The sequence below is a fragment of the Homo sapiens genome, chromosome 4 (assembly GCF_000001405.40).
Source record: "Homo sapiens chromosome 4, GRCh38.p14 Primary Assembly".
NCBI classification, from domain to species: Eukaryota; Metazoa; Chordata; class Mammalia; order Primates; family Hominidae; genus Homo; species Homo sapiens.
The window spans coordinates 164368302-164384315 of NC_000004.12; the positions used below are offsets into that span (position 1 = coordinate 164368302).

General features: G+C 37.6%; 1 protein-coding gene across 5 annotated transcripts in view, besides 1 other annotated feature; it reads right to left on the reverse strand.

The window, feature by feature from the left end:
- The window catches only part of MARCHF1 (membrane associated ring-CH-type finger 1), an 859722-nt gene extending 844004 nt beyond the window's left edge, over window positions 1-15718 (reverse strand). For 2 of the 5 annotated variants that reach the window (XM_017008336.2, NM_001394959.1), the window contains exon 1: window positions 15569-15718. The gene's annotated coding sequence lies outside the window, so the exon portion shown is untranslated. Of the gene's footprint in view, window positions 1-14885 lie in introns of all 5 variants that reach the window. The other 3 variants (NM_001166373.2, XM_047415869.1, XM_017008335.2) reach the window with 2 other exon arrangements.
- Window positions 14946-15447: an enhancer, noted in NCBI's record as "H3K4me1 hESC enhancer chr4:165304399-165304900 (GRCh37/hg19 assembly coordinates)". NCBI's record gives its function as "activates a minimal SCP1, AML or CMV promoter by ChIP-STARR-seq in primed H9 embryonic stem cells {active_cell/tissue: H9 hESC(primed)}" and the evidence as "EXISTENCE:reporter gene assay evidence [ECO:0000049][PMID:30033119]".
- Window positions 15719-16014: the final 296 nt, after the last annotated feature.

Genomic DNA, 16014 nt, shown 5'->3' on the forward strand with positions numbered 1-16014 from the left:
AATGAAAAAGAAAATAATTTTCTAGAAAAACATAAATATAATTTAAAAATAAGTAGAAAACATCAAGACACTTATAATGATTATTATCTTGAATTAGTAACTTAAAATACACCAATACTAGAAGGTTTTATAGGGAAGTTTTGCTGAACATTCAAGAAAAAGGTATCTCCAATCATACAAGCTTTTCCATAGAAAAATTCACTTTTATGGCTAATATAACCTTATTATCAAAGCTAGACAACAACACAAAAAAGGAAAAATACAAGATTTCATTTCTTGATATAGCTACAACAATCCTAAAAAATACATTTCAAACCAAATTCAGCAATATGTGCACATAATGACCAACCAGGATTTATCCTAAATATGCAGGGACTGTGTATTATTAGAAATTCACCATATGAACAGATTAGAAGCCAAAAAATTATATTTGTAACACTTGAACATCCATTCACAAGAAAATAAATATGACTTCCACAGTAAGGAGAAAAAGAAACCTATTTAAATTGTGAAATATTAGAAGTTGTTTACTTTAAACCAAGGAAAAGGCTATGATACCAGCTTTCAACCTTACTGCAGGTTGGGGTCTCTACAAGCTGGTGCTGTGAACAGTCATGGTACAAAATGTCTATTAGACACGGAAACTTTAGAAAGAACAGGAGTTCTGACTGGACAGAGGGAGAAGCTGAACTGTGCTGCAGGCCAGCAAAGTCTCACTCCTTCCATCCAGAGCAAGGGTCCATCAGAGTTGTCCTATGACTGAACGTTTATATCAGCTCCCTCTCTCAGGTAAGTGGGCTGCTCCGGGGATGAGGGTGGTGGTTTAACCCGGGTCTAGGTGGCTCTTGGCAGCTGAGACAGACCCAGACAGGCTCACGGCCAGACGCTTCCCACTGAAAGCATTCCCTTTAGCTGGGCAACAATCCTTGAAGGGGGACTGGGTGGTTCTTCTCTGTGTCTACATTAATCCCTTTACTACAACTTTTATATGAGTTCTCACTACCGTGCTATGGACTGGAAAATAGGCATAAAGATTTGAAAAGACGATAAGACAATTTGAAAATTGGACACCATGATTTCAAGAGCATCAAAGTGAACACATGAGTTCCAATCCTGCACCTGCCACTTACTAGCTCTATGGTTTTAGTCAGATTGGTTCATATTTCTGTGGTTAGATTTTCTTATACAGAATATGAAATAGTAATAACTGCCAACTGCATGCTGTATTGCCTTTATCAAGTTGTTATAATCACTGAACCTCTGGGAACCCTTCTTCGAAAAAAAAGTACATATATACATATGTACATATGTACTTATATACTAATGTATGTAATTATATATGTACTTACGTACTATAATGTACCTATAATGTACTAACGTTCTATAATGTACTTATGTACTATAATAGTACCTCTACCATAAGATTGATTTGAAGATTAAATAAACTACCCTATTTAAAGCATGTCTTTCAAAAAGTAAGTTCTAAATATTATACACACACAACACGAACATCTATCTAGCCTACACAATAGAACCTCAAAAGCAAACTATGAGAATAAATCAAATAGTTTAGTAAGGTTGCTGGATGAAAAATCAACATGTAAAAATCAACATGCATCACCAATAAACATTTAGAACATGTATCTTTTTAAATATATTATTCATTATTACAACAAAAACCATAATAATCCTGGGAATAAATTGCAAAAACCTAAGCAAGATCTTCACAGAAGACGTTAATTATACCATCATTGCAGCACATTCAAGAAGAGTTAGATAAATGGAGTTATGTAACAAATATATGGACAGGAAAGCTCTATCATAAAAATGACAGCTGTCTCAAATTGAATTATAAACCTAATGCCTTCCAATCTCAACAGAGTGTATGTCAGAAGCCCTGGAAGAAAGATATCACATCCAAAAGGACTAAGACAGAAATATGGTGAGGGTGAAAAGAAGAAAGTAGTTATCTCTACCACCCCTACTACAACCACCACAACCTCTCAGGCCTGCTGGGGGAAAGGGAAGAAACAGTATTATAGAAATCCAAATAGAACTGGAACCTTGAAATAGAGGAGCGGTGGCCATCATTGTATGCATTCACTTCTACACCTGCTAAGAGGCAGAGAGGGACCAGAGGAATTAATTCCCTTACCATACTCTCTCACCAGTCTCCTGGTAGTGTCTCACATTAGCCACACCTAACTAGAAGTTAGAAGCCAAAGAAGTGCAGGAGTTGCAGCTCCATGGAGAAAGGCTCTAAATAAGCAACCAAGGAATATTTACCACATAGACTATTTCATGGAATTTAAAAAAGCAAATTATGGCTGGGCACAGTGGCTCATGCCTGTAATCCCAGCACTTTGGGAAGCCCAGGCGGGCAGATCACCTGAGGTCAGGAGTTGGAGACCAGCCTCACCAACACGGCGAAACTCGATCTCTACTAAAATACAAAAATTAGCTGGGCGTGATAGCGTGCCCCTGTAGTCCCAGCTACTTGGGAGGCTGAGACAGGAGAATCTCTTGAGCCCGGGAGGCGGAGGTTGCATTGAGCCGAGATCTTGCCACCACCCTCTAGCCTGGGCAACAGTGTGAGACTCCATCTCAAAAATAAATAAATAATATAAATATAAATATAAAAAGCAGACTCTAATATGGCAAAGTTTGTGAGAACAGCCAAGAAAATTTTAAAGAATGAGAATGAGGAGAATTCATCTTAATAAAGTTGCTGTATAATGTTAAAAGGATTAAAGAATCAAGTATTAAATTGGCAAAGGATTAGACAAACCAATGGAACATAATAGAGAACCAAGAACAGATATAAATATATGGCACCTAGATATGCCAGAGTTAGCCTCACAAATCAGTAGGAAAAACTAAACTCGAACAATTGGCTGTACCTTTTGTGGTGGGGGGATGGGTTAATCCCTATTTCCAAAACAACTACAAAAATTAATTCCAACTGGGCCAAAGACCATAATGCTAAACATGTTAAAGCTTTAGTAGAAAACTGAGTGAATATTTTTACAATCTCTAAGTAAGAAAATACTACTTAAACAAGAAATACTAAATTTGTAAAGGAAAAGAATGATAAAACTGAGCATAACAAAATTTCAAAATCTCTATACAAAAAGACATAGTAACACAACTTAAAAACAAGGGACAGAATGCAAGCAAATATTTCAATGCATGTAAATGACAAAAAGTTAGTACTTAGAGTATACAAAAATTCTTAAAAATTCATTTTAAAAATTCAAACCAATAAGGAAAAAATAACAAAACTTAAGACAATCTGCAAAAGAGAAGACTTAAGTGAAGTCTTATATACATGAAAAGATGCTCAATAGCACCAATGAGGGAAAACAATCAATAAGACATTTAAACATATGCATGCAAAACCAAAAAGTTTGATAATACGTTATACATTGCTGACGGACATGTAAGTTGCTAAAACCAATATGGAAAGATAGATCTCTAAAGATTTGTTGAAGATAGAAACTGCTCTCTTAATCCCACTACAACATTTTCACAATTTTATTCTTATTTAAGTACCTATAACTAATTTAGAGAATTACTTTTTGTTTATAATATTTATAAAAGTAACGTATCATTTATACATTACAATTATCTTTTGTAACTTTTTTCACTCAAATTATATTTTAAAGCCTCCTCCTGCAGGCTGTGCCAGGAGGATCACTTGAGCCAGGAGGTCAAGGCTGCCAGTGATGGCGCCACGGCATTCCAGCCTGGGTGACAGAGGGAGGCCCTTTCTCAAGAAAAATAAATTTAAAAAATGAAATTATATTTCACTCAAATGATGATCAATGTTGACATGTGAATTTTAGTTCATTTTAATTTCTGTATAGTATTCAATTGCATCAAAATATCGTGATTAATGATTACCTAGAATCTTTAAGTCAATGCAAATGACACTGCCATAAATACATGTCTCTTTGGGTCTACATACAAAAACTCTTTCTAGAAGTGAATTGCTGATCGCCTCCAGAAATGTAATACTGCACAGTAAGTGGACTGTATTGACATGAAAAAGATAACAGAGACTCTAACAAGTTAACACACAGCATATTACATATTTATTGAAATGTCATAGTCTAATATATATTAGCATAAATATATATTTTGGATACATTTCTGGAAAGAAGTCAATATTTTTTAACTGGGAGAGAATTGAAGGGGAGCATCCACTTTTCAGTCTTAATATTTCTATAATTTTTTTATAATAAACATATTTTACCTCAGTTTTACAGCTATAAACCATTGAAAAAAATCCACATTTGTTATTTTATCCTGTGTTGTGTTTATTATCCTACTATAATATGGTAAAAACACCCTCAGATATGAGATTGAATGTTTGTGTTGTACATGTTTCATAAACTAATAATTATACAATTAACTTATTTTTGAAATAAAGTTTCCTTTATATTACCATTATTAAAGTGATAGGGTCTCAGTACTGAAAATTTTAAAAATATAGGAAGAGAAAAAGGAAAAATAAAACACTCACTACAAAATGATACCAGTCATAAATATTATTTATTCATTAATCAATTCATTTATTTATTTATTCAGTTGGTAGTAGTGATAGTGGTGGCCACCTTTCTTTAGTTTCTCAAGCAAATAAATCTTCGCATTTCCTTCATGTCTAAAAAGTAGCAAGATAACTAAAATCTTAAAATGTATAGCATATATCTTATAAAAATGAAACCATGCCTGAGAATTTAAAGAATATTTATATTTGCTTTAATGATGGTATGAACCCTTACTATTTATTAGGGAATTTTCTTACTACCTTTAATCCTCAAAACAACCTTGCTACTGAGAAAATACTATCATCTGCATTTTGCAGATAAGGAAACCAACATTCTAACACTAACGTTAAGCAATTTGACCAGTGCCATCTCACTAGTGAGTGGAGATTTCAACACAGCTGAATATGGCCTGGAATTTGAGCTTCTCCAACTACCATTTGTCTCTCATTCTTCCTGCAGAGAAACTGAATCTTCCCATTAAAAATTAATGTGAAAAACTACTTTTTTTTTTTTTTTTTTTTTTTGAGATGAGTCTCACTCTCACCCAGGCTAGAATACAATGGCACAATCTTGGCTCACTGCTATCTCCACCTCCCAGGTTCAAGTGATTCTCCTGCCTCAGCCTCCCCAGTAGCTAGGATTACAGGTGTGAGCCACCATGCCCAGCTAATTTTTGTATTTTTAGTAGAGATGGGGTTTCACCATGTTGGCCAGGCTGGTCTTGAACTTCTGACCTCCAGTGGCCTGCCTGCTTTGGCCTCCCAAAGTGCTAAGATTACAGGCGTGAGTCACCGTGCCCAGCCCAAAAACCACTTTATATAACAAAAAAATTTCCTAAGGAAATTATGATAATTTTCTGGCATCCAGAAAGATCCACTATAAAAATATTCTGCCTCTAAAGGCATACATCTCCCAGTAGCCATGTGGTGATTACACCCCACTCACTGCTAAGTGAATAGGAGCCCAAGAGAGAATGAGTGGCTTGTCAGTTCACAGTCCATAATCTACTGAACTGTTCCCACCATGAAAAAAATGGGAGGTAAAAATGTAGATTACTCATTTATCACCATGAAAACACACAGAAGTAAAATTTGGCTATATGAACCATGAAACTGCTCTCTCCATTGTTTATAAAAAGAATTTAGTTCTAATAGTTGATAACCAACAATTTCTTTAAAACAATTTATCAGCATAAGTTCTCTCTTACACTGTTTTGAGGGAAATTTTTCAAATAAATGTTCACATTAGATGTGTTGCCACAGAATAGAAATTAGCATGAAACAGAGGATTATTTTCGCATCATTTTTTCCTCTACATATAATTTATTACAATTATACACTCAGAAAAGTATTTTTAAAATCCACAAGAAAACTAATTAGATTTAACAGACGTCAACATTTTTTTAAGTTTTGCTTTAATATTCATCTTTTAATCCAATAATTATTAATTTAAATTGTTATTATGATAATAATTCAGTCTTATTATTACTAAAAGTATTTGGGAAATTTAAAAAGTGGGACAAAAAGCTAACGATAGTCCTATGACAACTATTAACAGTTGAAAATACTTCCTATTTGTAAAATAAACATTTCCTTTATTTTTGACATTACTGGGTAATGTATGTTTCAAAAAATTAAAGCCTTCTGCCTCATTTTTAACAATTTTTGAAAATTGACAACTATGGCTTATCCTCATAACAAAAGCTATAGAAATAGCATCTATTATCACTTCTTAAGACTCATCTTCTCTACCATGAATGTCATAAGGAACAAACCAAAAAGTATCAGACTTTTCCTTCTATATTATACTTGTCACTTAATATCTTAATAATGCGTCAAATTGATTCCCCCATCTCTTTAATTCTCTGCTATTGTTAATGGCACAGAATCTTTCTTTCATGTAGTAGTTACTTAATAAATACTTGTTTATCCATTTATTTAGTAAAGGTTTCTAAAATAAGACATACTCATGAGGTTAAAAGATTTCATAAAAGATTAAGTTTAAACATAAGCTATAAATAAACCAAGTTATCTTATTAAAAAGGAAAGAGAGCTGGCAAGAACTTATTGTATATATTATGCTAAATATTAAAGGGTCATTTCACAGGGTGCCTGGGACCTGACTTTGGGTTCCATGAAAACAAAATTGCTAAGAAATGTTAAAGGAAATATAGCTCTAAGTGGAAAATAATTTGTCTCTAATTGATCGAATTTCAAATTTGGGAGAATTTAGCAGAACCAAAATCCAAACTCATGTGAGTATAGAGGCAATTTAACTTCATTAAAACCTAAATACAAAAGCTGATTCCAGAATGAATAATTAAATGTGGCTATGTGCTATGCTTCAGTAACATCTAATAGACCTTTGTGTGTTACACTATTAAAATAAATCAAGTAAAATTTTAATTGAAATGTTGTACTTTTAAAAGAAAATATCTACCCATAATTCTACCACTCTAAAAATTAATAGATAACTAGCAAAAATATATAAATTTTATAACTATGTAAAAACTACTTAGTTATATGGAACTTAAAAGCCTTGTAGGTAGTCCTTAAGGTATCATCACCATGAGCTGGAACAAATACATTGAGTAATAAATAAATAAATAGTTCATTCTCCTTTCTTTCAACTCTATTTCTTTAGAAGTTCTCTAACTTTAAATGATAACTCCTACAACTTTTATTTGATTCAAATGTTCATAACTCTTAATATTTGCTAGGCTGCATATTCGATACAACATTCTTCCCAGATTCATACATTTCTTTTTTGCAAATAGATGGTCTGTATTTGTTAGCACCTTTTTACTGCTCCCCTACTACATGCACATACACATGCACACACACATGTACAATTAATTCCTTACTATGGCAAATATTTTGTGACAGTCCCTTATGTTTAGTACCTCTCTTCAGCCTACATCACACTCCCTCTGACTGTGAGTCTTTCAAACTTCCCCCAACAGTAGGACCTTGAGCACACTTCATTTCTCCCTCTGTTAGAAAATTTTTATCTTTTTTCTCCACCTCATTAACCCTTCCTTCAGATGTCAGGTAAAATGTCACCTCCTCAAGGAGGCTTCCCCAGACCTCCCTGGCTGAGTCAAACTCCCCTCTAATAGGCTTCCCCATTACTGTGCATCTGGCCTTCATTATACTCACTTTTGCGTATGTGCACTGGCTTGTGTGATTATTTAATTAATTTCACAGAAATAAAAAGCTCCAAAGAGGCAGGAATCATGCCACATCTTTCACTCATCATTACATTACCAGGACCTAGCTGAGTGTTGAGCATAGAGTAGACTGCCAATAACTACATATTAAAGTATAGTAAAAAAGAAGGAAGAGATGCAAATTAATCATTATGTCAACAGATGACCTCACAGTTACTAGAAAAATTATTTAAATGGTCTCACTTGGTGATCTGAAAGATGACAGATTTGTAAAGAAAGTATCTCTGAAAATACATGTTTTATCTTCTTTCTTTTTTTCTCTCATTGTAATGGATGTAGCTTATGATTTAGTCCTGCTTTTCTTTCTCTTATTCATTTTTCTCTAGAGAAGGAAAGTCATAAATCTTAGGCCAGGCTCTCTTCAAAAGCAGAGTCTGAACTAAAAAATTATGTGCAAATAATACAAGGTGATCCCGGAGAGTAGGAGTGAGGCACCGGGTAAAGTGAACCAGGGAGAGAGTAAAGGCTAATACAGGTGCATGCAGTTGGGTCACTTCCATGGCCGGTTGAGGCTCCTTCTCACTTGGACCTTATGAGGAGCTGCAGAGTGCGTCTCGGAACTATCCACCCATTCCCACTGACTGCGAGGCTCCATGGTGGTGTTAGCTCCTCCTCACTTCCAGGCTGCATGGACCACGGTCAGAAGCAGGGGGAAAGATAAGACATGCTAGTAAAGTCACAGAAAAGAAAGTGAAAGATACTCAGCGCAAGCTTGAGATGGGAAATAGCACAACTGAGTCAAAGGCTGCCTACAATGATTGCCCGAGCCAGAGCCAGAAACAGATGTGAGATTGACAGGACATCCGGCAGGGTCCAAAAAGCATGTGATATACTTCATGAGAATCAGATCATTGCTCACCACAGTCAGCCCCAATGAGCCTCAATGTCAGTACCTAATTTATCACTCTCACCAAGCTTCCATTTATCTCCTGATGTGCCTCAGGACACTGAATTGAAGGCAGGCACAAGAATCTATTCCAGGCATTCTCCGACTTCCAATCATTGTGTCCCAAATAGTCAGTGATTTCTGGAATATGTTATCTGGAATATGTTACCTGCAACATACAAGTCACTCAAAAATAACATTACATGTAATAGTTCAATCCATCCGTCACCAGGCAGACTTAACAAAAATTCTAGGTCAATCCATAAAAGCACAGTTAATTTAAATCATATATCTCTAACAATCTACTTCAGGTATAACCTGAATTAACTATATTTCCGTGAATTGGTCTAGAAATACGTTCTGAGTTTTATCCATATACCAATAAGAAAAGAGATAAACATAGTACTAGCTTGTTAACACTATTGTATGTATTTCACAAGAAATCAGTCTGTATCAGTTGCTTTTCAGAGCCAACAGTTGGAAAAATAGGACAGTTGTTTCTAAGAAGAGGGAGACTCCAGACTTCACACATTTTTCACTCCATAAATGTAGCGCTTATTTGTAAGTTAGAATGATTCGTTAACCATGGAGTTCTTGTGTTCAGAAAGGAGCCTTACTTTTTATGCACACACACACACACACACACACATACACACATGTGTCTGTGTCTGTATTTTTGGGTGTGTATTAGTCCTAAAAGAAACAAAAGTTTTACCAATTTATTATGTTTAGTTACCAATAACTTTAATCTATTGGCTATTTGAATTACTGGTCTTCACTGTCACAAAGATTTACCTCAAAATTTAAAAAACAGACAAACAGTCTCAATATAAAATGGCACATAGTATATTAATGGCTGTTTGATAGAACCTGCCTTCGTTTTATACCACTTCTAAAAATACGTTTGGAGTTAGCTGTATTGCGTAGGAGGCTGTGGGATGGGACTACTAACTCCAGTTTTACCATCAAGAAATGATCTTTGATCACTGTACATCTATGTTTATTATCAGTTAAAAATAATGACACATTTCAGCTGATGGTTTTGGTCAACAATAACTAGAAAAGCCAGATATAAGGACAGTATTCTGATAAAACCTGGTGGAGAGTTTCAGAAGAGGTCAAGACTAGAAGCTTCAAGATTACAGATGGAAGAAGTACCAAGGAGGTAATGTGACTTTTCACAATATGTTTTTTCCCCGGGATGAAGAGTGGGGGCAATTGCCAATCTGGAAAGACAGTGAGAGACTAAGAATACGGGCTTTGCCTGAGCAGAGGACCACTGATGTGAGACAAAGAATCTAGCAGAGATTTTGGCAGTCTTGAGGGACTGGAGAGACAAAATTAGCTATGAGGGGCCAAGAGCTCAGTGAGAAGTAAAAGGTGTAGCGCTCAGCTTGACACATACTTGATTTTACCTACATGAGATTTGCTAAAGCCTGAAGTTACACATATGAGTGGAGGCTAAGACACTGAGAAGGAAGCTTCTGGAAAGAAGAGCGGATTCTCAGGAGTCTTGTCCTGGCTTGTGTTGAGGGCCTGTGAATGCACCAGTAGAAGTTCAAGACATCTGGGCTGGGTGCGGTGGCTACGCCTTGGCATCTGGGAGCCCAGAAGTCTAACAACTTGTGAGTCAGCTCAGTCACTGGGTGGATTACAACTATGGGCTACCATCCCACCGTATCTGTCTAGCAGAGGAAATGTTGATACTTCTTTGGGGATGTATAGATCATCTGGAGCCTTTATAAGTTTGTTTTTTGTTTTTTGAGACAGAGTCTCACTCTGTCACCGAGGCTGGAGTGCAATGGCACGATCTTGGCTTGCTGCAACCTCTGCCTCCCAGGTTCTAGTGATTCTCCTGCCTCAGCCTCCCAAGTAGCTGGGATTACAGGCACCTGCCACCATGCCTGGCTAATTTTTTGTATTTTTAGTAGAGATGGGGTTTCACCATGTTGGCCAGGCTGGTCTCGAACTCCTGACCTCAGGTGATCCACCTGCCTAGGCCTCCCAAAGTGCTGGGATTACAGGCATGAGCCACTGCACCTGGCTGAGTCTTTATAATTTTTATATACAATAACTAAAATTAAGAGTAAAGATATGCTGAAAAGAGGCTCACGGCAATACAGCTGACATTAGCAGACTAAAACCTTAGAATAAGTTTGATTAATATGCTCCAAGTCATAGAAGAAAAGATGGAGAAAACAGATAAATTGGAATCTATAGAAAAAATCAAATGTACACTTGGAAATTTAAAAAAATACAATAATTACAGTAATAACCTGTGGATGAGCAGTATAACAGGCATGGTGTAGAAGGTTAGTAAACTGAAGAGAAGGTCAAAAGAATACTCAAACAAGCACAGAGAGAAAAAAAAAGTAGAAAATAGTAAAACAAGTACAGGGAGCATGTTGGGTACAGTGAAACCATCTATTAAACATGTAACTCAGATCTCAGGAAAACAGACACAATGAAGTAGAGCTATCTATGAGAAGATAATAGTCAAGAATTCACCAATGAATTTCACCTGATGAAAGATAACAATCCACAAATTCAAGAAGCTCTGCAAACTTGGAGGATAAATCCAAAAAACTTATACCTAGCAATATATAGAAAACTAAAGAAAATAATGGCAAATGAAAAATCATAAAATCACCCAGAGACAAAGACACATTTACCCTCATAGCAACAATATGACTGACAGGTTTGATGGAAGTGAGAAGTCAAAAGAATAACAAATGTTGGCCGGGCACAGTGGCTTATGCCTGTAATCTCAGCACTTTGGGAGGCTGAGGCAGGCAGATTGCTTGAGTCCAGGAGTTTTAGCATAGATGGTGAAACCCCATCTATGCTAAAAATACAAAAATTAGCCAGGCATGGTGCTAGTCAGGAGGCTGAGGGACGAGAACCACTTGAGGCAGAGGTTTCAGTAAGCAGTGATTGCGCCACTGCATTCCACCTGGGTGACAGAGTGAGGCTCTGTCTCAAAAATAAATAAATAAAAATAACAACATGTTGAAAAAAAAAAAACTGCCAAACAAAAATGCTATACTTAGCTTTAAAAATTACATCTATTTAAAAATATTTTCAGACATACAAAAACTGAGTGAATTTGTTGCCAGCACACTTGCAATAAAAATACATAACCACTTACTTCATAATTTTTATGAATAAATTATAAGTGCATTGACAAGAATGCCACAAATTTAACATACCAGATATTCTAAAACCACAATTACTTTTGCACCAACCTAATAAAATAGAATTCACACATTAGGTTCACCTCTATCAATTTACTTCTTTAACTGAAACTAATTAGAAATTTAAAGTGATTAAGTTCACTAATATATAATATTTGTCACAGTTCCTCCTGAATTTTCCAAATCATTTTTGTACACTAGTTCATTTGCTATGCACTGTCCCCCATGAGAAAGGCAAGGCAGATATTATCATCTTTATTTTATGTAAAATGAAACTAATGTTTACAGACTCCGACCCTTGTCCTCAAGTACATGACAAAGTCAAAAGTAGAACACATATTTCCTACCACTGTTCATCACTGAAACACTAGGAGGTAGAAATGAATTAATAGTATCATAGGGGAGTCATAAATTGCAAAATGAACCCAATATATAGCAAAGGGATAATCGTGGCTTCAGAGAATTTGTCTCAAATATTTTTATTTTATTTTTAAAGCTACATTAACAGCATTATTTTAACCCTCTAAATATTAGATCATCACACTCCTAAATATTTTCAGCAACACTATAACCGTTGACTTTCACTGTTGTATTTCCAGAAAAAGTTAGGATGCAAAAACCTTTCAGCCAAGGTTTTACTGACCAATTTCCCTATCAAAGGCCTACAGGAAAGTGAAAGCTACAATGTTTTGTGATCCATAAAACATCCTTAAGCTAGAATTTGAATTACACCATGAAAAAGCCCAGAAGACAACCTCTTCATTGAGTTTAAGACACAATTTTGCCTCAAGGTGGGTAAAGGACGTTTCGCTCTATCATAGAGGTCCTAAAGTATCTGTTAAATCACACAACTGGAACAATGAAAGCAAGAGGTCGTCAAACAGCATAAACTTATTCTTCATACAGGATCTTTCCATGGATACTTCCCAGTGTCCTGACATCATGTTTTTCGGTGACCTTGGAACATCACTATTGCCTGCCCTGGGCTTTGTGCTATGGCTTTATTTTTGCCCTATAATGCAACTTCCTCCTTTTTCTCACCTTGCCCAGTTAAGAGCCCTTGTGCAACAAAATAGGCAAAGTATGTGTGAAATACATTAAAGAACATTATGAGAATACTCTCTAGTTCAAGGACACTATTTTACTCCATGTGGTTTTAAAAATAATATTGTACTAGCTATCAAATAAGTCAAATTATATCTATTTATAATATGCTTATACTTTCTGAGAAATTTTCTCAGTATTCTAGTGGAATGTGAAGAATCTATGTACTTTTGACCTTCTTGGATAAAATATTTTTGAAATAAAATTAAAGATTTCATACATAAAATGTAATCTGTTCTTCTCAATATACATTTTTATTTACCATGTTAAGGAGGTAAAACATCTTATCGCTAAAGGTAATATCATATGCCAAAAACCATGAGCCAAACACCACAGTACCTCCTGTTGATCATTGCTAGCTGATTATCTGATCAGAGTTATACACATATTGTATGTAAATGTAGATTTTTATATAGTGTACACCCCATCATGTAAGCACGTCAGAAGCTCGTACGTTCATAAGTCTATTTCAAAAAGAGTTTTTGCTATTACAATACTTGAGGAAAGTAGTCAACATGAGCAACAGGTTCTCTAAGAACCTTAAAGTAAAACCCCATTATCATAAAAACATAGTACAACAAAGTTAGAAAGACGACTTCAGATAAAACAGGTGGAGCCTATTGTGACAATTAGTCAAGAAACAATGAAATAAAAAAAACTGTATCACAGAAGAAAACGTTGCTGACAACCCCATAAGTCCTGGATTAAAACAAGCTCTTTGCTCATAACATTGGTCTCTCAACATAGCGTGACATAATCAGACATATAATTATGCACTTCCCAGTAGAGATACGCATGTAAAAGCTACAATGAGCTTTTCCAAAATCAAAACTGACACAGCACCTTCTGATAGTCCCACCATTCATATTTAGTAAAGCCTCCCTGTATTATCTCACCCAGTTTCTTTTTAACTTCCACCACATTGATTATTCCAATAATTTTCTATCAAATCTGTTCTGAAAAGACTCAAACTTTATCAAAAGAGCAATCACTAAGAAAAATTATTTCAATCCTGTTTCAGAAAAGCTTCATTAGAATCATCTATCTTTAAAGAAAAAAAATCATCTGAAGAAAAATTAGCCTCTTTCAAGAAAAATAAAATAACCCTTTGAATTATTATTGTGATTGTTGCTTTCTTATACCATAGCATTATGTTAGATGCTGGGATACCAAACTGGTATACCAAGAATCTCCTTAATGTTCAAGGATTATTTACATTTAATATACATTAAATTCATACATACAAAATTACTATTTAAAGTTTAAATATTTTCGATTGTAGTGGATGAAAACAGAAAAAGTCACTGAACCCCCAAAGTAGCAAACTTTCACTTCTTTCCATCTTTTTCACGAGATATTCCTTTTGTAAACACATTGACATTAGAAACAGATGTTCTGATAGGTACCACCGCTTCCTTGTGATCTGAAAATTGAACCTCCTAAACAAGGAATTCATCAATAAAACCTGTGTCCGCCAAGCAAAAAGCCAGGGGGTTGGGTGTTGGCATGTTGGCTATATAGCACTTATAGGCGAGACAACTCTAAACTAAGGTACCTGAGCAGGTTCAGAATCTTTTTTCGTCAAACCCACAGAGCTCTATAATAGAAAACATTTTGATCTCAAAAATGTTTAGCAAGCAAATCTTTTCTGGAACTACTGAATAACAATAAGAATTGCCAGGAAAACGTGAGGCTCTCTAACTACATATTGGCCATGCCTCTGATTCCATTCACCTGTCACAAATCTCCAAAATCAGCGCTTCAGAAACCAGAGAAAAGAGCGAGAGTGAGTCTCCCTTAACTTTGCCATTTCCCTCACACCATTTGGGGATAAAACTTGGGCGTCTCTCTGCCTCGACTGGTCACTCCACTTCCTGGAGCTCCAGAAACTCCCTCAGCACCTGGATAACTGCGACACTCACCCGTGAGCGCAGGACCCTCCTGGCGTCTTAAGTCCCAGCTCTCAGTCCCGCTGGCCGCAGGAACACAATGACATCTCTCGCCCAGGAGGGCGGTTGCAGGGAACCGAAATCGGACACAACAGTTGCAGTGAACCCGACTCAGGGTTGAGCGCATCAGCGCTAAACCCAAGACAAAGGCTGCCCTGTGTCTTCCGTACTCAGCGCTCTCCTTTGGTAATCGGTCCCCGTCCCCTTCAAGCCCACACTAGGAGCGCGTGAGCCTGTGAAGTGGCTGTCATCGACTCCGCGCTTTCCGAGGGGTGCGGCTCCGTGACTAGTACCACGCCGGTGTAAACAGCGCGCCGCGCACTGGGGATCCGCCAGAAACGGCGCGCGCGCAGAGCGGGCGCTGGGGGCCAATAGTAGCAACTACCCCAGGCTGCGGGCTGGAGCCGCCTCCTCTCACCAGAGAGGCGCCTACTGGGCGAGCCCGCCGCCCGCAGGTTGGGTGGCAGCACCCGCCGCGAACCCCAGCCACGCTCCCCAGTGGACCCACCAGGCAAAGGCACCTGCTGCCTGCCCTCCAGGGCTGATGCTGTGCCAAGCCCCGCTCGGGATCAGGGACAAGCCGCCCAGGACTACCAGCCGGAGAGAAGGGGCTCCCAGTGAGGCTGATTGAATGAATGATGTTTGCAGTCACTTACCGGCGGAGGGTGAAGTAGCTCAGGCGGCCGCCAGGCTGCGTGCGGCCGGCATCCCGGGGCGCGGGCATTCTCCCATCCTTTGTCAGTTGCGGGTGGAGCGCTCCTCCCCAGCTAGCGGACGAGCAGCCGGGTGGCAGGCAGCCCGGCTCTGGCTCGGCTCCCCAGTCCTCTCCCCTCCTCTGCTCCCCCTCCCCTTCTCCGTCCCCCTCTCTGAGCCGGCATTCACTGGGCTCCCATGATGTCATCCAGTGGAAATCTGCCATGCTCAAAGACTGGAATAATCCAGCGCTCACGCGGGGAACGCAGAGCAGGCGGAGGAGGCAACAGAGCCTCTAGGAGTTCCCAGAACTAGCATCTCCAGGTTAACTGGAGTCAAGGACAGGACATAGGGGAGTCTGCGGAAAGCAGGCTCCGAGGGTGTATGTGGGCCGGGTGGGCGCGGTGGG